Below are 24105 nucleotides of genomic sequence, written 5' to 3' on the forward strand. Positions count from 1 at the left end.
TTTAAAGTGGAGATGCCACATGTCTTTGTTAATTAACCAGAAGATTGGAGTCAGTATTCCTCGCTGCTTTCTCAATACCTTCAGTTCTTACTGAACTTGTCATTAACCCAAACATCCTGCTTTATTCCCATCAAAACTGTTTCCACGTTTGTTGTTCTTCGTCATCATGATCTTTGTGCAATGGATTTTTGAAACTAAAAATCTCAGGACTTCACTTTTGACCCCATTGAATTTCATTTGGCTTGTTTTGATGCCTGGCTACCAGACTCTTCAGATCATTTTTAATTCTTATTGGTAATACTATCAATATTGGTTATCCTGTATAACTGTTGATCATCAACACATTTCAGAAGCATTTCTTTTATGACTTCATCTAATTTTTTTTAAATTAAAGTGCTAAGTAGGACCATGGTAAAGTAGAACTCAAATGATCTTCCCCTGAAGATGTTCCCTCACATTAACACCCTTCTATTAATAGCATTGAACAGTCAAAAAAGGTTTGTAAGATATGGCAGCCATCCTAAGCACAAGGGTAAAGAAGCTTGATATCTGCCTCAAATCCCTCCACCCTGTCATGGGTACCAACCAGGTGTTATCGAAAAGGGGTCCCAATCCAGACACCAAGAGAGGGTTCTTGGATCTTGCACAAGAAAGAATTCAGGGTGAGTCCACAGAGTAAAGTGAAAGCAAGTTTATTATGAAAGTAAAAGAATAAAAGAATAGCTATTCCATAGACAGAGCAGCCCTGAAGGCCGATGGTTGGCTTTTTTTTTTTTTTTTTTTTTTTTTTTTTTTTTTTTTTTTGAGATGAAGTCTAGCTCTATCGCCCAGGCTGGAGTGCAGTGGTGCGATCTCGGCTCACTGCAACCTCCACCTCCCGGGTTCAAGCGATTCTCCTCCCTCAGCCTCCTGAGTAGCTGGGATTACAGGTGTGCACCACCATGCCCAGTTGATTTTTGTATTTTTAGTAGAGACGGGGTTTCACCATGTTGGCCAGGCTGGTCTCAAACTCCTGACCTCGTGATCTACCCGCCTCAGCCTCCCAAAGTGCTGGGATTACAAGCGTGAGCCACTGCACCCAGCTGCCCATTTTTATGGTTATTTCTTGATGATATGCTAAATGAGAGGTGGATTATCCATGCCTCTCCTTTTTAGACCATACAGGGTAACTTCCTGACGTTGCCATGGCATTTGTAAACTGTCATGGTGGTGGCGGGCGTGTAGCAGTGAGGATGACCAGAGGTCACTCTCCTCACCGTCTTGATTTTGGTGGGTTTTGCCAGCTTCTTTACTGCAACCTGTTTTAACAGCAAGATCTTTATGACCTGTGTCTTGTGCTGACCTCCTATCTCATCGTGTGACTTAGAATGGCTAACTGCCTCAGAAGCAGCCCAGTAGATTTCAGCCTTATTTTACCCAGCTCCCATTCAAGATGGAGTTGCTCTGATTCAAACGCCTCTGACACAGGTATCACGCTAGAGCTTTATGAGTTAATACCAGACTGTTGATTGGTCCTCATCACACCCTCAAATCAAGGCCTTATAAAAAGAAAATTTAGAATTATCACCTGTTTTAATTACATTTAGTGAAAATATCTATTTTGAGATATTAAATGATAATATAGAAATATTTATATTTCTCAAACATGAGCTTTAAAAAAAAAGTGTGAGAACTGCTGCTGAAGTGCCCAAGTCTCACCCTTCAAGCCTCTGGGTAGGTCAGCAGCCCCATTAATGAGATGTCTTTATCTCTCCTCCTCAGTGACACCGTGAGGCAAAGCTAAGCAAGTCAAAATCACTTAAGAGGCAGTTATTTCATCTCTGACAATCAAATCTTGTTCTGGACAAAAGAGAACACTTTATACCATGAGGCATTTTATAGATAAGCTGCTGAGAACTCCCAGCACCCACAGTACAATCAGGTTCATCAGCTGACCTTTTATCTTCCCGTGTGACAAAGCAGGGACAGACCCTTCCCAAGGACACAATGTGATCATGAGCGGTCCAGTCCCACGAAGCCTGGTCTTCACTTCTTTTGCCACCAGCAGGGTGGTTGTATGGGGGGGTGGGGGGTGGGGGCAGGGGGAACAGGGATAGAGGCATGTAGGGCTTTGGGGGATTAGTCAGAGCCATCAGTCACCTAACACTTGAAGAGATCTTCTAAAGGAACAAGAGACAACGGAGTGGAAGGAGAACTATCTAGAGAAGAAAGGAAGATGGTAATAGCTAACATTCCTTGAGTATCTACAACATGCCAGGTATGTTCTAGGCACTTCGCATGCCTTGTCTCAACCAAACAACAGCCTGATGGGGAAAAGGCACTAATATCTCAATTTTACCTGTGGAGAAACTAGGGCAACAAAAAGTTAAGTCAAAAAGTCAGTATCAGATAGTTGGTAAACAGCAGAGATGGGATTTGAACCCAGATAATCTGGATCCAGACTCTGCCCTTGAATTCTCCGGCCTCCCCAAGTGTGGTGGTGTTGGAAGTGAGATAGAGCAGCCCCACTGTGCCAAGTTTTAAGTCTTTCTTCAAGGGCGTGCAATGGAAACACTACAAGAGAACGGCTTGCACCGAACACATTTTCAAAGTCCTTGAATAAAGGCTGTCTCTGCCCTTTTTCCTGGGCCCTACTCTCACCCTAAACCTCGGTATCTTCTGCCCCACCTGCTCCCACACGGTGGCTTCTCCCCCAACATCTCCAATGACAACTAGGTTGGCAATATTTGGGATCCATTTGTTTTCGATTATACTACACGCACTCACACCTCCTCCTTGGTCATTTCGTAAGAGGTCTGGAGAGGTTTTGGAAAGCATTCATTCCTTCCACCTCATAGAACCTTCTCCTTCCCATTAAGAGTGGCCACCCCAAGGGTATATTCCACTAGGAGAGGGGCTGGGGCTTCCACTGTGAGAAGGAGGAGGGGGAGAAGAGGGAAAAGAGGGAAGAAAAATGGAAAAGGAGGAGGGGAGGAGGGGAGAACAGAGAGGAGGGGAGGAGGAGAGGTCGGGAGAGGAGGAAGGGGGAGGGGAGGTGGGGAAGGGGAGGAGGAAGAGGTTGTCTCCTCAAAGGAAGAGGCTTTTCCCATGGAAATGCACTGTGGCTGGTGCCCATTAGCATCCCTATGCATAATAAGGGTTCAGCCTATTGTCATGCAAATTAATTCAGATGACAACACTCTCTCCTCGACAACACTGCCCCAGCACAAGGAAGTTTCTCACACTGTCTCAGCCAATACTAACCGGCCTCTACGCCATCTTTCATAATTATTTTTCTCCCCTTCACTCCTGCAAGGTTTGTTCTCAGCTACATCCCCCTTCACTTCCCAGCTGCTGTTGGCTCCTTTTCATCCCGGAACAGTCAACATCATCGCCATAAACAAAATACAATGTTTTTTAAAAATGAATCAAAACCAGGGGAAAAGTTACATTTCAGATCAATGCTGAAAACGAAGAGTTTGACTAAACAGAGAAACCAAGTAATTTCCAGGCTTCCACGGAGCAGCGACTCCTCTGTTCCCTTTTCCCATTGTGGAAAGATTCCAAGCAGCATCTCTTCTCTCCGGCAAGCAGCATTCTCCTGTGGGTCACTCGGGCCCTGATAAGACAGATCCTCTGTGTTTGACTATAAAGCAGTGACTCATCCTTGCCATTGTTTGTCCTGCCGACCTCTTAGTCCTGGCCACTGACCAAGTATTCCTGCTTATCCACATCAGCAGGCTTAAGTTCAGCCACCAGGCCACTGCCACCGGCTGAGGCCAGTTTTTACCCTGAAGCGAGTCCTCTGTCAACTCTAACCCAAGAGCCAAGAGAAAGAGCAAACAAGGGTGGCTTCAGACCAAGCCAGAAGGAGGTGACGGCAGAGCTACAGCTCATTCGTGCTGTAGGCGCAGCCTCTAAACCCTCTTTTCACCTCTCCACCCCATGGATATCCAGATACTTTGTCCCTAACCCTTTACTGGCCTGAGCATCTGATCCCTGCAGCCTAAAGTTAAGAGCTGGCACTCGCTCTCACTTCTGTAACTATGCCTTCTTGTTCTGTACACAGCACACTAGACTAGTTTAAAGCACAGTTCCAGGTTCTGAAGATCGAGTTCAAATCCTGATTGTCTATTTTCTAGCTGCACAATCTTAGACAAGTTACTTACACTGTGTGCTTCAGTTTACTCATCTATAAAAAGGAGGTAACAATTGTTACACACCTCCCAAGGCTGTTATGATGATTAAACACATAATACATTGAAAGTGCTGAAAACGATGTCTGGTATGCTGTAAGCATTTTAAATAAAATGTTAGCAAGGGTTATTAATTAATTTTCCCAGACTTCACCTTTTTTTTTGGTTTATCTGACTTACTCCCCTTTCTAATTGAGCCAAGTTCACTCCTCTACTTATTGCTTCCAACCCTACTCCAGGCAGCCCCGTTCTGGTTTCTTTTGCTGTCCAAAATGTTTTGCAACAATAAAATGCATAATATCATGCAGCATTGCTAACACAGAAAGAATGTGACCCAGAGCCTACCCTTGTCCCAAACACCAAACTGGTCCCTGACAGTCCTGACATTTCTACCACACATTTGAGTAGATGAGGTAAGGAAAGACAGGGGCAGAGAAGGACACAGTAGAAATAAACTGCAGCTTACACATTATCTGAACAACAGAAAGGCTTTGTAGCCAGACAAATTATATGCAAATTATATGCAAATCTGAATGTAAATACTTTAGGCCCAGGGAGAAAATCCTTGAGGAGACATTCCCATTCCCTTCACCCTCACTTCCCAAGCTGCATTTTCTTTTCTGATTGGTTAGTCGGGAACTCATTATGAAGATTCCAAGGTGCATATAATTCTCTAAAGAAGTTCATTCTACCTGCTTGTCAGGGGTCAGAGGCTGAAGAGACCTCAGGAAGGCAACATTACTGCAGCTTACACCTCCAACCGAAGGGAGGGCTACGTCCATTCAACTCCAAGCCAAGACAAAGAGGAAACGGCCTGGATGGCTGTGGACTAGCTAAGAGCTAAAGAAAGGACAGACCCCCTCAGGGACCTTGGGCTGGGCTGGACAGGGTTACTTGCCTGGGGAGCTAGGTGGCACGTTTCTTTTCTTTTTTTTTTTTTTTATTATTATTATACTTTAAGTTTTAGGGTACATGTGCACAATGTGCAGGTTTGTTACATATGTATACATGTGCCATGTTGGTGGCACGTTTCTTAATTTTGGTTAGAGGACATGCACTTGCTGAAGCTCACTCTACCAGGATTTGCTCACATTGTTTTAGGTATTTGACCAAATTTGAAAGGACGCATACACTAATTTGCTTGGAGGTGGGAGCAGAAAGTGGAAAAGGGGGGAGAAAAACACAGCTACTTCATTCATTCATTCAACAGAAACTTCCTGGGGCTCTACTGAATGTTGGGCAGCACCCCCAGCCATTACGTAGGAGCTTTCATCTAAGCTTCTCAGAAGCTAAGCATTCCACACTGAGAAAACTCAGTCTCAGAGGGCACACCTTGCTGTAAGTTTAATGCCAGCATAGTTGCTGAAAGAAAATCAGATCTATAACTACATTGCTGTCATGAGTGAGTGGTTATGGTTTACCTCTGCTTTCCTTGACCCTCCCATTGGAAATGTCCCCTGTTCCTTCCCTTCCGGGTGATGATCATGCCTTATATTTCACAGAGAAGATGGAAGCCATCCCCACTAAACCTACAGATGCAGCCCCACTTTAGTCATCTTCTCCTCCTCCTTCCCTGATGCTTCAGGGGAAAACAAGTCCCTTCTGCTATCAAAGACCAATTGCTCCAAATCCTCCCCAGGGACCTGCGGGCTCAGTTAGTCCTCTCTCCGGGGCACCTTCAAACTCCCTTTCACTTCTTGAGCCTTCTTGTCTGCATTCAAACAACAGGTCAATCAATATATTAAGTGGATTACCTGCATCATGCACTTAGATTAATGCTTGTTACATAGCAGGTGTGCCTAAGAGTTTCCTATAATCATTCTATGAAAAGCTGATCAATCTTACTAGTATCGGGAACAGGCATGAAACACCAATGAGATTTCATTTTTTTGTGCAAGAGCAGCACTGTCTGGCAGAACTTTCTGTGATGGCAGAAATGCTCTGTATGATCATTGTTAATATGATCGCCTCTAGGGCAATGTGCAGTTATCAAACATTTGGAATTTGACTGGTATGGCTGGGGAGCTGAATTTTTTTATTTTATTTCATTCTAATCAACTTATATAGCCATACATGCATAGTGCTTACTGTATTAGTTAGGTAACACTGTTCCAAATATCTCGCAAAAACTTTAAAAAAATTGGCATTACCCAGCATGGCAGAGAGTGTGGAAAGACAGGTGCCCCCATACACTAACAGTGGGTGAGTCAATAACTATGGTCCTTTGTAGGGCAACATGGCAATATTTGTCATTTCAAATATGCATTCTTCAAGTTCTCAGAATCTAGACTAAAATAAACTCATATAAGGGCACAAAAACTCATATAAGAGTAAGAAATTTGCAATTTGCACGTGTTTGTTTCCAATTTTTCCCTATTGCAAATTATTCAATAATGTATGCCTTTGCTTATCTGTAAACAGAAGATAATAACAGATAATAGGCTGGGTGTGGTGGCTCACACCTGTAATCCCAGCACTTTGGGAGGCCAAGGCAGGGGATCCCTTGAACCCAGGAGTCCAAGACCAGCCTGAGCAACACAGGGAGACATAGTCTCTACAAAAAATAAAAAAATTAGCCAGGTGTGGTGACATGTACCTGTAGTCCCAGCTACTCAGGAGACTGAGATGGGAGGATTGCTTGAGCCCAGAAGGTTGAAGCTGCAGTAAGCCATGATTGAGTCACTGCACTCTGGCCTGGGCAGCAGAGCAAGACCTTGTCAAAAAAAAAAAGTATATGTGTGTGTGTGTGTGTGTGTGTATATATATGTGTGTGTGTATATATATACACACACACATATATATACACACACACACACACACACACATATATATATATATAAAAAATAGATAATAATCATGCCCAGGGTTATTGAGAAGACAGAAGTCAATTTATCTTAAATGCCTAACAGAAGTTCTAGAACAAAGGAGATGCTAAATAAATGGTAACTATTATCACTTTTTTTTTTTTTTTTTGAGATGGAGTCTTGCTGTCACCCAAGCTGGAGTGCAGTGGCATGATCTCAGCTCACTGCAACTTCTACCTCCCAGGTTCAAGCGATTCTTCTGCCTCAGCCTCCCGAGTAGCTGGGACTACAGGTGCGTGCCATCACACCCGGCTAATTATTTTTGTATTTTTAGTAGAGGTGGGGTTTCACCATATTAGCCAGGCTAATCTCGAACTCCTGACCTCGTGATCCACCCGCCTCGGTCTCCCAAAGTGCTGGGATTACAGGCGTGAGCCACTGCGCCCACATGTGATAACTATTATTAATTAATAATAACAGTACTAGCATTGAAAACTCAGGATTGGGATCAAAGCCTTGTAACCCCATTCTTAAGGCTTCCTGGTTGTATGATTAGCAGAATTCAAGACGGACCTGCTGTCTCGGGGGAAGAAACCTTCAGAGGAGAATGTAATAGAGAGGTCTCAATCACAGGAGGGCATACTGCTCAGACTCCGTACTCAGTACTCTATCAGGGCAAAGGGTGCAGACCAGTGGTTCTCAACTATAGGGGATTTTGGACACAGACTGCCCAGATCTAACCCCAGCCCTTCCTCTCAGGAACTCTGCACCATGGGGAGTTACTCAGACTCTCTGGCCATAGCTTCTTCATCTGTAACATGGAAATGATGAAGATAATAAAGAGAGTGTGTCCCAAAGGGAAAGATTATATGGCTTAATATAAGCAAAATGCTTAACTTTTGTGTCAATTGCATAGCAGATGCTATAGCGGTGATGATCCCTGTTATTTGCCTAGGCCCATGGTATGGCCCAGACCAAAGTCGACCCCCTTTATACTTCAGTACTCGGTACTAAAATAAACCATGTGCTAAAATAAACCCCAGAGCTCAATTCATTTCTACTTAGAATCACTAGAGATGTGAAATTTCCAGAAACTACAAAATTTGAAACTATAAAAAATAACCATCACAAAAACTTTCATGTATATGTGTCTGTGTGTGATGGAAGAGAGACTTTGTGAACTTTTATAATTACTCAGTGCTGCTTGTATACGGCACCCTTGAAAGTTTGAAATCCTTTGGAAGGATTAGAAGCACAGGCATGTTATAGAGACTTGATTTGTTTATTACCTTGCAGTGCTGGGCATGTTTTCAAACTAGAAATGGGTGAGGGGCGTGGGGCTGGAGAGTCACAGGCTGTGAGAGTGACTGCCATCAGGAATGACAGCATGGTGTCGGTCACTGTCAGTCAGGGATGAGTCAGGAATTGAGGTCCCATCCACATGCATCCTCAGCCTCGCTGCTTCTCCTTTAGCCCAAATGGCTCCTTCCAGATTCACATCCCACCCTCACACTCCCTCCATCTTTTCTCTTTCTCTGTGTGATGGAAACAGAGTGAACACTGCAGTCCCACTGACCTGTGTTGAAATTCCAGATTTTTCCTTTGTGTCCTTGGGCAAGTTATTGAACTCCCCTGAGCCTGGCTTTCCTTACCCGTGGGGCTTGTTCTCAGCCAGCTCTCAGATCCCTGCTAAACTCTGAATGGCGGATAAAGAATTAGGCTTGTGCCGGGCGCGGTGGTTCATGCTTGTAATCCCAGCACTTTGGGAGGGTGAGGCGGGTGGGTCACGAGGTGAGGAGTTCGAGACCAGCCTGGCCAGCATGGTGAAACCTCACCTCTACTAAAAATACAAAAATCAGCCAGGCGTGGTGGCAGTCGCCTGCAATCCCAGCTACTCGGGAGGCTGAGGCAGGAGAATCGCTTGAAACTGGAAGGCAGAGGTTGCAGTGAGCCAAGATCTAGCCATTGTACTCTAGCCTGGGCGAAAGAGTGAAACTCCGTTTCAAAAAAAAAAAAAGAATTAAGTGTGGACTCCTCTGTCATGGCTAAATTCCCTCCTTCCCTGTGACTTCATATGCTGAAGTCCTCACCCCTGGTATCTCAGAATGTGATTGTATTTGGAGACAGTGCCTTTAAAGAGGTAATTAAAGTAAAATGAAGTCTTATGGGTAGGCCCTAATCCAATATAACTGTTATCTTTACAGTAAGAAAAGATTAGGATGCAGACACACACAGAGGAACGACTGTGTGAGGACAACACAAGGCAAAGACACCCATCTACATGGCTGGGCACAGTGGCTCATGCCTGTAATCCTAGCACTTCGGGAGGCCAAAGCAGGGGGATCACCTGAGGTCGGGAGTTCGAGATCAGCCTGACCAACATGGAGAAACTAAAAATACAAAATTAGCCAGGCGTGGTGGCACATGCCTATAACCCCAGCTACTCGACAGGCTGAGGCAGGAGAATCGCTTGAACCCAGAAGGTAGAGGTTGTGGTGAGCCGAGATTGCACCATTGCACTCCAGCCGGGGCAACAAGAGGGAAACTCCGTCTCAAAAAAAAAAAAAAAAAAAAAAAAGACAGCCATCTACAAATCATGGAGAGAGGTCTCCAAAGAAACAAATCATGGCAGACCCCTTGATCTCAGACTTTCAGCCTCCAGAACAATGAGAAAATGATCTAAGCCATCCAGCCTGTGACACTTTGCAATGACAGCCCTAGCAATTCCAAACAGGTTGGAATTACAGAAGGGAACCAAGACTTGGTTGAGAGGCTTGCTTCGTTTAATGGAAATAAACCTTGACCTCTTTTTCTAGTAGAGGTCACTGAATTCAGCCATGGACTTCAGTAGGGTTGTTCTTACGCCTCCTCCAGACGTGCGATAGCACAAAAAAAGAAACTGAGATCCTGGGATCATTTCCAAAAGCCTTTTTTCATTACCAAAATGTGTCTTTCCTAGGCCAGTCTTCCATCATCTCTCTCTCTCTTTTTTTTTTTTTTTTTTTTTTTTTTGAGACGGAGTCTTGTTCTGTCGCCTAGGCTGGAGTGCAGTGGCGTGGTCTCAGCTCACTGCAAGCTCCGCCTCCAGGGTTCACGCCATTCTCCCACCTCAGCCTCCTGAGTAGCTGAGACTACAGGCGTGTGCCACCACGCCCAGCTAACTTTTGTGTTTTTAGTAGAGACGGGTTTCACCCTGTTGGCCAGGATGTTCTCCATCTCTTGACCTTGTGATCTGCCTGCCTCAGCCTCCCAAAGTGCTGGGATTACAGGCATGAGCCACCACACCCAGCCTCCATCATCTCTTTCTTTCTTTTACTCACCACTCCCCACCACCCTCTACCCTACACACACAATTTCACAGATAGGGGGAGGCAGACAAGTGCTTGCATCTTCTGCTGCCTCTAGCTCCACCAGGAGAATGCAGAGACCCAAGAAACCACAACACAAAGGGAAAAAGAAGAAACCGTGGGATCTAACCCATTTCCTTCCCACTTGTTACCTGGTTCTCATGTAACCCAGTCTTAAATGTCCAATGTCCCTGTTGCATGGTTTTTTTGAGGGCCTGAGCCCATTGAATTGTTTTCATTTCCCTAGATGCCCCCTTGTGCCATCAACAAAGACGGATGGTTGGACCCTCTGGCTACCTTCCATACGACTTTATTTGCAAAATCCAGGAAAAAGGACTGGGCGTGGCATTAGAACCCCTTATCAATGTGGAGATGGGCGGGGAAGACTAACAGAGCGGAACAACGGAAGACAACCCTGAAGGCAGCTCTTCCATCAAATGAGTTCTGCTTTAGATTTCACAACTCACACAAAACATCACACTACGCCTGCCAATCGTCCCAGCAGGGGAGTGGGGGGGCCGTTGGTGGGGGAGAAAAAAGCAAAGGCATCATTCAAGCTGCCTGCCCTGAACCCATCATCCCCTGTGTGTGCGTGGACTGTGCTGCTCTGTCCTCATAATTCACTTCCCCGAGGTGTCACGGTGTGAAGGGCCCAGGCATGCTTCCTCATGGTTTCCCTAATCCTCCCTTGTCAAGTAACATATGCATCACTCCCTCGGCCTCAACCCAGTCTTGGCAGATCCTCCACCAACATCTGTTGCCCGAGGCCTGCCTCATACAAGCTTCTCCTTCATCAAATGACAAGACCAGTAGGTAAAACTCATCTCTTCCTTCCCTTTCTGCCAGCTCACAGCTTGGGGTCCCAAGGTCTAGCACTTCAGCGTCAAACAAGCACCAGTCAGGCCAAGAGGCGGAGGCGGCCCCAAGAGTGTATCGCCAGAGACATCTTCCTCCCCATCCCCCATCAGAAAGATGCCCTGCTGACCTCCTCAACAACATCAGTAATTTGTCTTGGAGAGCCGCCATACCTACAGCAAACACAGGAAGGATTAGAACACAACATATGCTGCACAGCAACAGAAACATGCTAAGGTCCTTCCTGAGTCTGAAGGATTATTGAGGGGGAGGAGAGAGAGAGACAGAAAGCAAGAAAGATGAATGTGGAATAAGAGAAACCCCATTTATTCATCCAATATTGAAAGGAAATGGATGCCTTAGAACTGGGTGTGTTGAAGTCAAATCCGATATGGGCTTTAAAGCCCATTGGTGACAGATGTGGACTTTCGCCAAGTCAACCACAAAATAGGATCAAAGGAAGTTGAAAAACAACAACAACTGGGTCTCCCTGGCTAAAGTTTTTTGCTGCCCTTGGAATGTTGGCCCAGTGGACATCATCAGGAAGTGGAAGAAAGACTAGGAAGGGCTACATTTAAATAAGTTAGAAAAAAATAGAAAGATCCAGAAGCCAGTCTGATGCCTTGAGGATTTGGGGCATTCTCCTCGCGTAAAGAAGCAGAAAACACCAGCTAAGGTGGAGACTGATGTCTAGAACCAGTACTGCTCCTTAGAGAGGAAATCGCTTCACCTTATTCAAGAGAAACACATGTTGAGCCATAATCAGTGCATTTCACAGGCGAAAGGGACAGTAAAGTGTTGGGAGTCATAGGCCATATTATTTGGGTTCAAATACAAGTTCTGCCACTTTTTAGCTGTATGACCCTGGGAAACTTCTTAACTTCTCTGGGTTTTATTTTCTCATCTAAAAATAGGGTTGATAATAATAGTTGTCTTAAAGGGTTAGAAGGATAAAATATCCCCATATAATATGCTTAAAACAACGTCTGGCAAGGGTAAAAACTCAATAAATATTAGCAACTATTTTGATATTAATTTGTAAGAATAAATTTACCTCCTATAGAATGTCCACCTTGGGGCAGAGAAGATCAAAAGCACTGCGTGTGTATTCACAATTCTGAACTCAAAGAGTCTCTATCAAGTGACAGTAATTTGCAAATGAAAATTATGTTATACAAACGTGCAAATTTTTTTTTTTTTTTTTTTTTTTTTCAGACGGAGTCTCACTCTGTCTCCCAGGCTGGAGTGCAGTGATGCGATCTCGGCTCGCTGCAAGCTCCGCCTCCCAGGTTCATGCCATTCTCCTGCCTCAGCCTCCCGAGTAGCTGGGACTACAGACGGCCGCCACCACACCCGGCTAATTTTTTGTATTTTTAGTAGAGACGGGGTTTCACCGTGTTAGCCAGGATGGTCTCAATCTCCTGACCTTGTGATCCGCCCGCCTTGGCCTCCCAAAGTGCTGGGAGCACAGGCGTGAGCCACAGCACCCAGCCAAACATGTGCAAATTTCAAATTCCTCATTTCTCACCTCTAAAGCCAGACTCGACAACCCATCCAGTGAGGGTTGAAGACGTAACTAAAACAACAACAACAAATGCCTTGAGAAGAAAGATATGCTTCAAACAGGGTTATCCATTTGCTAGTACTTTCTAGTTGGGGCCAAGTTCTAACTTGCTCTTTGGTCAACGAGGATAGTTAGCAACATCAGCCACTCTGTAATTACCTGGCTACCCTCACCACCAATGGAATATCAACCCTTCTGTCCCTCCTCTTCCAAATCAGCTCTTCACTACTCTTTTTGCATAATCTAAAGATCTATATTTCTCAGGTCCTTTCAGCCAAGCTTTGTAGAGATCAATTCCCTGGTGTCAGGCTATAGCTATGTTAGAGGCCAGTGGGAAAAAGGATATGCTATCATCACTCATTCCAGGGAGAAGCCCCTTTATACAAGATACCTCATCCACTGGCAAATGTTCCTAGCTGTGGGAAGGAGAGCTGGAAGCTCAGACGAGATAAGAGGCTGCATGCCACCTCACCCACTGACTATTCCTCTCTGGAGGAGCTCCCTGTGTAGAAGAAATTGATATCTCTCCATAGGAGCATCTCCAAGGCCAGCTGTGTATAGTCCAGGGTAACAACCATAAAAGCTGGGATATGGGGATAGAATAAGTTTGCATGGAAATTTCTCATCTTAGAAAAAAATTAAACAGAGTTTACTTGAACAAATAAGGTAGTCTTCTGGTTTTTAGATCTATTCAAATAAAGCAACAAAAGATGTCTGTGACATGTATGACAAATACGTTTCATTGCATCTCAACAATCAACCCTGTTAGGCTTGTGGTAGGTTCCTGAAGGACTCCACTAAAATGGATTGTGAAGGCCTGGCATGGTAGCTCACGCCACCCAGCACTTTGGGAGGCCCTGGCAGGCGGATCACGAGGTTAGGAGATCGAGACCATCCTGGCTAACAAAGTGAAAACCCGTCTCTACTAAAAAATACAAAAAAATTAGCCAGGCATGGTGGTGGGCACCTGTAGTCCCAGCTACTTGGGAGGCTGAGGCAGCAGAATGGCGTGAACCTGGGAGGTGGAGCTTGCAGTGAACCGAGATCACGCCACTGTACTCCAGGCTGGGTGACAGAGCGAGACTCCGTCAAAAAAAAAAAAAAAAAGTATTGTGAAATGACAAATCAGCATGAAGCTGGCTGTGATTGATTATCAATGTCTGCCATGTGGGGGAGGAAGTTGACAGTGACTGATTAGCAATGAATGCCATAAGCTTGGCCTTGGATATGTGCCTTGAGTAGTATGAAATGAAATGTCTAGTTTTTACATGCAATCTTTCCAAGGAATCTTTGAACAGTTCCTAAAAATTCCTGGGCCTTCATTTTCATTGCCATTGAATATAGAAGGGAGAAGAGAAGGAAGAACTAATATTGGTTTATTTTTAATGTTAGAACGAACTGGTGTCTGAAGTCAGTTTTGATTTACATATGTTAAAGCAGGTAGGGACAATCCCCTCTCCAAGTACTAGATCCAGTCCTAGACAAAGAGGAAAAAGCCGATTTCTACATTTGTAAAAGATTTCATTTTTTGTCTCCCTAAAATAATTTATCAATAAGATTGGCAGGGTGGGGTGAGGGGAAACAATATGAACTGTACTTGTTTACATTGATTGAAATAGATCAAAAAACCTCTCTCAATGTCCTGGATATTACTTTATCTCTCTTTGTCTTCCTTTTGGAAGTCTCTTTCTCCAACTTTCAGAGATATGCCAGAGGAAAAGAGATGAATATAATCCCAAATTATGGACTAGGGTTCCCTTTATGAGGAAAGTAAGGGAGAAAAGGGAGATTCCAGAAATACAAATGAACCAAAAAATTTGGAATTAAAGTTAAGTGGTATTGGCTTTACTTGGAGATAATTGTTTTTCCTAGTGTGTATTTTAAGATTAACTTTTGCTGTCCTGATAAAAGAGACAGATAGAGCTACGGCTATTTATTTATTATTTCTTCTTCTTGCCTTGAATGCAGATGTGATGCCTGGAGCTGCAGAAGTTGTTTTGTGACCATGAGGCTACATCCATAAGGATGAAAAGCCAACAAGTTAAGCTAAGTTTAGAAAGAGTAGTAAGTTAAGAAAAGTGTAGAAAGGTAGAGGAAGCATGGACTTGTTGATCATCACTGAGCACGAAAACAACCCTGTACCACCAACCCCCAGACCTCCTTGTGAGGCAATTAAAATTTTAAACCTGTGTTGTTTGAACTTTACTATTTGCAACTCAAAGTGTTTTTTTCTTTTTTTCTTTTTTTTGAGGCAGAGTCTCTGTCACCCAGGCTGGACTGCAATGGCACTATCTCAGTTCACTGTAACCTCTGCCTCCCAGGCTCAAGCGATTCTCCTGCCTCAGCCTCCCAAGTAACTGGGACTACAGGCACATGCCACCACAATCAGCTGATTTTTTTTATTTTTAGTAGACGTGGGGTTTCATTATGTTGGCCAGCCCAGTCTCGAACTCCTGACCTCAAGTGATCTGCCTGCCTCGGCCTCCCAAAGTTTGGGATTACAGGCATGAGCCACCACACCCAGCGAAACCCACAGTATCTCTAAAGCAGTTATTTACCTTACTACAATATTTGTTTCTTTTAGGCAATGGGCCCATACTGATTTCCACAATTTATTAAAATTGGATATTCAAAAAATTATTTTTAAAATAAGCTTAAACTGTCAAGGGGTCACAGAGAAAAAAAAAAGTGTATCATACCGGCTAGCCTAAATGGGAGTATGGACACAAAGAGATGAAGGCCAGATTTCCAATGTGATTGACTTTTCTAACATATTCTCGGTGATGAGAACACATCCCAGGACATAGGCCAAGCTTTTCTAAATAGAGCATTTCCCAAAGCTGTGCCCTTGGTGTCAACACCTTTGAGACTTGAGTCAGAGAGAGAGCCCATCTGTACACATAGCCTCCACCCACCTTCAGCTTATCCTGTAAGCAAAGTATAGTTGAGTCAGCTCTCAGCACCTGTCTTAATAATTTGGAGGGCATGCAATCTGCCTTTCTCTATGTGCAACTCACAAGAAAAAGCCAGAAAACTGCTATGGCTTTAGATTTCAGTGTCCTAGGGCTCATGGGCAGTATCTATTATCTTTTCTAACAGAGCTTGGAAACACAACCACCAAAACAGTCAGGAAGGGCTTGAGATGGGCTAGGAAGACCTCTTCTTTCCAAACAACTAGCTATTACTCATTTACCTTGAGAAGATCAGCAAAGAATACAAACAGAATCTTCTCACATCCTGATTTATCCAGTGAAAACCATATGTAGACCATCCTGCCCCTTCTTTTCCTACAACCTCTCAGAAACAATTAGTAGAAAGAATGGACGAGATCAAAATGAGAGGAGAACATTCCTTTAACCTCTGCTCTGTACCTGGCACTGTGCTGGTAGATACCTTCATATGTATTTAATCCTCACAAGAATTCTACAAGCAAGGGGATATTGTCCCCATTTTATGGATAAGGAAGTAAGGATTAGAGAAAACAGGTGACTTGTCTGAGGCCCACAGCTAAGTGTTTCTGGCAGAGATCATTAGTGTTCATCCACACCCATGTGCATATTCATAGTTTCTAGTCTTCCTTGCAGTAGTGTTGGTCATGTGATTGAGTTCCGGAATGCAGACAGAAGCAATTCCCCCCACTTCTCAGCTGGACCCCTGAAATATCTTGCATATTCCTGTCCCTGTGACCAGAAGCAAAAGACTCCACAATGACCGAGCCAGAGAAGACAAAAAGAGCCAGGATCTTTGAGTCATCCCTTGGAGGAGAGACTGCCATCTTTTTGAATTATTACGCAATTGATATTCTCAAGTGTATTTATTACTAAAACATGACCTAAAGTACTCTTACTTCTACAAAGATCCCATTTAAAGAGGGTCCCTGATACTCTAGTGGAGGATCTTTGAAGCAATGGGAGCCAAATATTACACAGGTTCACTGTGACCAGTAGAACATCCAAGCCAGTGAAACTACTTCAAAATGAATTCAGGATTTCATGTGCATAAGCAAGATGTGTTGCGAACTCTGGACAGAACACTTTTCTTTTGTGCGTCTGTCTTCACCAAACACAGTATTCAGATATTATAGGGTCCCAAAAATACATGTTGAATTGAATCTAGTCTAGTCTCAGGTTGGGCTTCAACTTGGTATAATAGTCCTTGGTAAATTCCTCCTAAATTCTCTGTCTCAGTTTCTTCTTTCCTTCAATGTAAATGGAGTTAAACCTGTCGCTGTCCCTCAATGCGTCTAAAAGGAAGAGCCCAAGAAATCCACAACATTATTGGTAGAAATCATTGAAAGAACCACATCCGTGTACAATTTTAGTATGCTCTGACTCTTCAGGTACATATTTCAGGCTGGACTAAACTCTAAGAAGCCAAACCAGTGATTATCCCAAGAAGATCAACCCTTATTAAGAAACTGTCAAAGAAAAGTAGGTGGAGAGATGGATTAGCGGACTGGAAAGGGCTAGAGGCTGCTGGTGAAAAGCCTCAAAGATTTAGTTAGAGGATTTTGTATCCCTAGTCCTCGTTCTCATTATATAGCATCTTCCATGGTATGTGACTGTTGATAAATATTCATTGGAATGGGGACTGACCTAATGTAATGCAAATCACATGCAAAGCAACATGTAAATTGGAACCATTATATGAAGTCAATAGGTGAGGTACTATGCATATTAAAAGTACAGGACAACAGTTCCAAAAGACCCATAAGAGGCCCATAAAACTAGCAGGGGACATTCCATTCCAAAAGGAATCTGATAGTCAAAGACAGAACATTGCTGCCAAAGAATGTCACCAAGCATGAAGCAGGGACAGCGAGGCGGTAACAGAGAGAGAAACAGAAACCCGGCTGCTGCTTGCTCTCCCCATCCCTTTCAAGGCTGTATTCAAAACAGTTCTCCTTCATCGCCTTCCCATACTGATCAGACCTGATACTGATTGATTGGTCAAATCCACTGAGTGACAGGAGGGCAGACTGATCCGCTTGTACATTAGCCACGCTATTCAGGATGGCTCCTTCAAGCCTTCTAACAAAAGAGCCGGGGACACTGAGACACAGCCAGAGAGACTGGTCACTTTGAACCCGCTGGCACCACACGCAAGACTTTTAGAGGCTTTTGTATCCCCTGAAAGCTCTCTTCCCGTGAGTGTTGCATGGTCACACGCAATGCATGCATGTTTTGCACAGATTAGCATGCATCTGCAGAAATGCATAAAGTACAAAGACATCCCCATAGGCACACGGATGCAAACTTTTCACCTCCACCATCCCAAGGGAGCTGCAGGAGGATTTGACTGTTGTGAAGTCGCTAGGCCAGGGAAGGTCACAGGCTGTTTCTGACGGGAGCCCCCCCTTGTGTTTGCTTTCTGTGCCTCCACGGGCCTCCTGGCAGGACTAGGGGACATGGAAATAAGTCAGCAGTGACCCTTCTGGTGACCCATGGCCTCACCAGCCAACTCCTGATTGCAACATTCTGGCTTCAGTAACAGCCCTTAATTCACGCCTTCTGGCTGTGCCCAAGTCACAGTGGCCCTGGAGCTGGTAGCAGTAAGCAAGGTCAGGCTCAAGAGCTCCACATTGCCACTTCACAGGAGAGGCGACGCAAGGGTCGGGGGTAAGGGATGGAGCAGTGACAAGGGCAAACAGGGACATTTCTGATTTCTCAGCAAACTGAGACCCTCCCTTTGGCCATACACCCCTCCTATCTTCTGCGTTAGGCTGTTACCCAAGCTCCCAAGCTAGGATCTGGTGTTTTTTTTGTTTGTTTGTTTTTTTTGTTTTTTTTTTTAGACAGAGTCTCGCTCTGTCACCAGGCTGGAGTGCAGTGGTGTGATCTCAGCTCACTGTAACCTCTGCCTCCCGGGTTCAAGTGATTCTCCTGCCTCAGCCTCCTGAGTAGCAGGGACTACAGGTGCGTGCCACCATGCCCAGCTAATTTATTGTATTTTTAGTAGGGATGGGGTTTCACCGTGTTAGCCAGGATGGTCTCAATCTCCTGACCTGGTGATCCACCCACCTTGGCCACCCAAAGTGCTGGGATTACAGGCGTGAGCCACTGCGCCCAGCCTGGTGTTTTTCAGTCACTGGATGTAAACCTAACATGCACACCAGGACTCTGGTCATAGAGGCTCTGTCTTTCATCCCCTGTTCCTCTGTGTGTGTCACACACACACATGTACACAACTCTGTAGGTGGTTGAGTTGGTACACCCCTCTACACTAGTGACATGTGGCTTTTTTTCAAAAGGATCTTCCATGAGACAATTGACATGGAAGGGTCAAAGCAAACTCCTGGCTCTCAGGAGCCTTATGCGCGGAACTGTCTCCCAACACAGACAGAACCATCTCAAAGACTTTGAAAGTGATGACTCTGCCCATCTATCCGATTGTCTCCTTTCACAGATGCAAGACCTGAGACCCAGGAAGAAGTGCCCCAATTAGAGTTACTCACATTGCTGGGCCATGGGTACAGCCAGGCTTGCATTCATCCTCTCCAACACACCATGCCACAACCACAGGCATCACACACATTCCCAGATGGCCAACTGATGTCCAGTCCCTCCTGCCACTGCTTCCACAGGCATCAGCGCTCCTCACTCCTCTCTGGGTTCTTAGGGGTTATTATAGCAGGTAGAGCCCAGTGATAAAAATAGCAACGATGACCTAAAGAAAGTTCAAAGTAGGAAGCAGAGGTAAAAGGCAAGATCCTGGGAGCCAAACACATTGCATGTGTTCTGGCAATTTCTGGAGAGTCTACAAAACTGACTTCCAATGCTTGACCTCCACTGCCTATAGACCATGTCTGATCTGAGTTCTTCTGACAGCAGGCACTACCCCTTCCTTGCTTCTCCAGTCCAAATGCAAGCATATCCTATCTTTTGAAGCATTTGCCTTTCCACTCCAAGGTTTAAGGAACTGCAAGACAAATAGTATAAAAAGATGAAAGTTGCTGGGAGGAAGTCAGCACTGCTAAGTGGTTCTTTACAGGGCAGTAAACCCCAGGTCTTCCCTGTCTCTGGAGGGATCAACAGGATTGCCTTCCCAACCCTGTCTGCACTCAGCTTCTCCCCAGCCAGCACAGGGTATCTGCCTCCCAAAGGAAGAAAATCGGCTGCCTAAACCTCCCTCTGCTTCTACACATATTAAACACACTCTGTCAAGGTGATGCGGGCTTAACATCTGACCTGCTTTTATTTCTCTTTTCTTTTTGCAGAAGTGGTGGCAAGTTTACTATTTTTTTTTTTTTTTTTTTTTAGTTTGCTCATTTTTAAATCTACAAAGTGAAACTTGGGTCACATTTTTAAAAAATCAACTGTCAAATCATTCCCGGAGTTCCCATCTAAAGACTGGCCTGACATTTCACCTCCATGCTCTAAAGAATGCATGCCCTGCTTTAAAAACCTGGATCTTCTTGGCTGTACAGGTTTATGTGGAAGCATCATTTGGTCTTAGCCTGAGACTCAGACCCACATTCACAAGTGGCTTCAGAGTAATAACACCTTCCCCAGAGTTCGAGGCCCTTGTCTGTCCTGGGTAGTTTATTAGAAAAGGACGCCTCTTTGAGCCCCAGCTTGGAAGGCTGAACTGTTGAATACAGTGCCAAGGTAGCTTTCCAACTTTGAGCTCCCCAAGTCATTCATTCATTCCTTCACTCATCTACAACCTCTCATTCATTCAACCAGCAAAACCAGATAAGCAGAGGAACATGATCCCTGACCTCATGGAGCTCACAGTCTAGACAGGGAGATGGACAATAATAACAGGGCTAAAGTTGGTAGAGCTTCATTGTTGTGGCAGAGAAAGGCACAAGATGAATCCTAGAGGCAGGCATGGGTTGGTCCCTCAGGGTCAGGAGGCCCCAGAGGCCATCACAAGGATTTTGGTATTCAGCCTGGGGACAGTGGGGAGCCATGGGTCCCACCTTTTCCAGAAGGGACACACCCCTCTGGTTTGAACTAAAATTTTTTACATCCATCCACATGAAAAGTCCTTCCCCCAAACTAGAGCTGGTCGTTCATGTTACGCCACTCACAATAGCTCCTTGACACCAGACGCCCCTCGTAAAGAAGACAGAGTGGGTGTTCAGAGTCTGAGAGTCAGCAATGAGAGAGCTAGAAAGAGCCCAGGTTCCCAGTCTGGACCAGAATCTTAGCATGGCTGGAAAACAAAGGTGATCAATTCAGAAGTCAGCCATGGAAACATGGGAAATGGCACAATATCTGTGTTTAGAAGCTGAGATGGGCAATGGACCATTCCATTGAGGAGTTAGCACATGCTCACTCAGGCCAAGCCACGGCTTAGCCAACCATCCTTGCAAGCCCCAACACAGGTAGCAGCCCCTGCCCCATGGGAAGGTAGCTTTACCAACAGCCACCCTTTCCAGTTGAACAATAACAGCACAGAAGGTGAACTAAGCCACAGTGTAATTAGCAAAATGATAGGGAAATATGTAAGCAATTCAAGTGCCACTAGAGTGTCCCTTAAATGAACACTGGAATAGCCCTTAACGTGCGGATGAAGGAGAAAACTCGAACATCTAACCCTATTGGCAATTTTTCAAATGTCTTTCAGAAATCTCTAAACCATAACAAACCTTTGGTTTGAAAACTTCTTCCAGAATCCAGCTCAGAAAATTCATTGTCACCTCCTTCTCCCTTGTCATCAATGACCTTTTCCAGTTAGTCTTAAAAATGCAGGATATGCATAGACTGGTTTTAAACTCAGGCTTGCGGCAGCACTGTGGGATTCTGAGTAGTAGAAGCCTTGCACCAAGAAGGTAAATAGTCTTGTTTTAACACATTGTCTGAATCACATTCTCTGAAGGTCTAAGAAGACTTGACCTTGTCTGGTAAGTGGTCTCATTGGCTGGACTCAAAAAGAAAAGACATGAAAAAAGGGGAAGGAGGAAAACAGAAAACAAGCCAAGTAAAATATGAGACCAATTCCTAAACTCTTGATGTTTGGGGTTGACATCTTCCCTCCTGTTCTTAAAGGAGAATGAATATTATATAAAACTTTCCCAAGATCTAGAACAATGCCTAGAAAAATGGAAGAAAATGCCAGGATGTGCCACTAGCCACTGAAGGACAACACATTCATTATCTCACTCTCCAGAAATACTCTTTCTCCTTCATTCTCTGTCCTAGTTCATGGTACCACCACCCACCCAGATGACCAAGGCAAAAACAAAAAAACAAAAACAGGAACCGTCCCCCCACCCCCGGAGGCTTTTTCTTTCTCTCACTTGCCATAGCTAGCTGAACTTTCAATTTCACCTCTGCAAATGTTCTGTTATCTCTCCCCATCATTGCCATCGAATTTGGGCCACGCTTATTCTCTTCAAAATATTATTACAATTCCCCCAAATATTGGCAGGCCTGGATCCATCATTTCATCCAACTCAGTGCTCTGATTCCACCTGCTCAGAGAGCTCTTCTCTGGTCAATTGATTTAAAATGTGACTCCTTGTGACTCTTTATCCTTACCCACCTCGTTTTCTTTTAGCAAACTTTATTTATATGTAACTAAATATAAATCATATCTATATATAAATATATATCATATAGTTATATATCACATATTTTGTTCACATATGTCATACATTTAGTTCATATATATAAAATACTTATCATTGGCTTTGTATTTCTTTATATATAAATATATATCATATCTACATATAACTATATATCATATATTTATCATATGTTTAGTTATATCATATATTTAGATACATATATCACATATTTTGTTCATGTATATTACACATTTAGTTCCTATATATATTAATCATTGGCTTTCTCTTCTATAAATATTTGCTATTGCAGGATGTAGTGGCTCACACCTGTAATCCCAACACCTTGGGGGGTCAAGGTGGGTGGGTTGCTTGAGCTCAAGAGTTCAAGACCAGCCTGGGCAACATAGTAAGACCCAAGCTCTACAAAAAATACAAAAGGTTAGCTGGATGTTGTGCCACACACCTGTAGTCCCAGCTACTTGGGAGACTGAGGTGGGAGGATGGCTTGGGCATCACTGTACTCCAGCCTGGGTGACACAGCAAGACCCTGTCTACAAAAAAAAAAAAAAAAAAAAAAAAAAAAAAAAAAAATTGCTACCAGTAAGTGAACAAATGAGTCTCCCCACTGTACTCTCACATACCCTCTGGTCCATCCTCTGAATTGGTGAGACTCATTTTCTGAAACACACACTTGGCTGCATTATTTAACTACTGCAACTATTCCCATGCCTTACAGTTACCCACAGAATGAGCCCCATGTGCTAAAGTGGCAAACCCAGGGGGCCACAGCCTGGCCCCCTGCCAGTCCTATAGCCTCATCCCAAGTCCACATTCACCTCCTCAGGCCTCACCCCCAACATGCCTTCCACATACAATGACTATCAGCTCCCCAAAAGTACCATGCTCTTTCCACCCTCAATACCTTTGTGGAGATATTTTCCAGCCTAAAATGACCCTCCTCCCTTTGACTGCCAGGCAAACTCCAAAAAGCTGCCCCTCATCCACCCACTAACCCTGCCTCATCCCTTCTCCTACCTTGCATATCACCTCTATAGTCAGTTACAGAATCTGCAGGGTATAGCATGTGCGCTTGTGTCTTTGTCTGTGTCCTTCCTTGGTCTAGGAGTAGGGACCACAGCAGTTTAGGGAACACTCAAAGCTTGCAGCATTGGAAAATTCTTTCAAGTTAGCTTTTAAATCATAAAATACAATGAAATTTGTGACAGTTTAAACAGTCTCCTTAAATATCTCCTCAACTGTCTGTTTTTTGTGCCCCTCCCTTGAGATCTCATATATGAGAGGAAATATATATATGATCATATATATATGATCTCATATATATATTCTCTTTCTGTGTGTGTGGGTGTATATATACATATACATACACATAGAGAGAGAGAGAGGAGAAGAAGGAGGAGAAGGAGGAGGAGGAGAAGAAGAAAATAGAGCAGTGAGATACGAATTTTTTATCCAAGCGAGGAAAAAACAATGAAAAGAAATGGCCTTCACTGTTTCATTATATTATTACATAACTGCAGCCTGAACTCGAATGACAGAGACGTTGGCAAAGTGGCTGACTCCACCAAGAGGAGCTGCTGGGCACATCCGATGAATAAAAATGGCAAGAAGCCTAAAATGGACTGGAAATCACTTTGAGCTTTGACTTTTATTTCTCTGGAGTGACAGGAAGGGTAGCTGGAAGATTAAAACTCTCAGACTCAGCTCAGGCTGTCACCCCTGCAACCAAACCAATACACACAAACAAGCCCAACCTCAGTGTGCCTTCTCCTCTCTCTTCTCCCCTCTCCCCTCTCCTCCCCTCCTCTCTCCTCACTTCTCCTCT

Source organism: Homo sapiens, chromosome 17 (genome assembly GCF_000001405.40).
Source record: "Homo sapiens chromosome 17, GRCh38.p14 Primary Assembly".
NCBI lineage: Eukaryota > Metazoa > Chordata > Mammalia > Primates > Hominidae > Homo > Homo sapiens.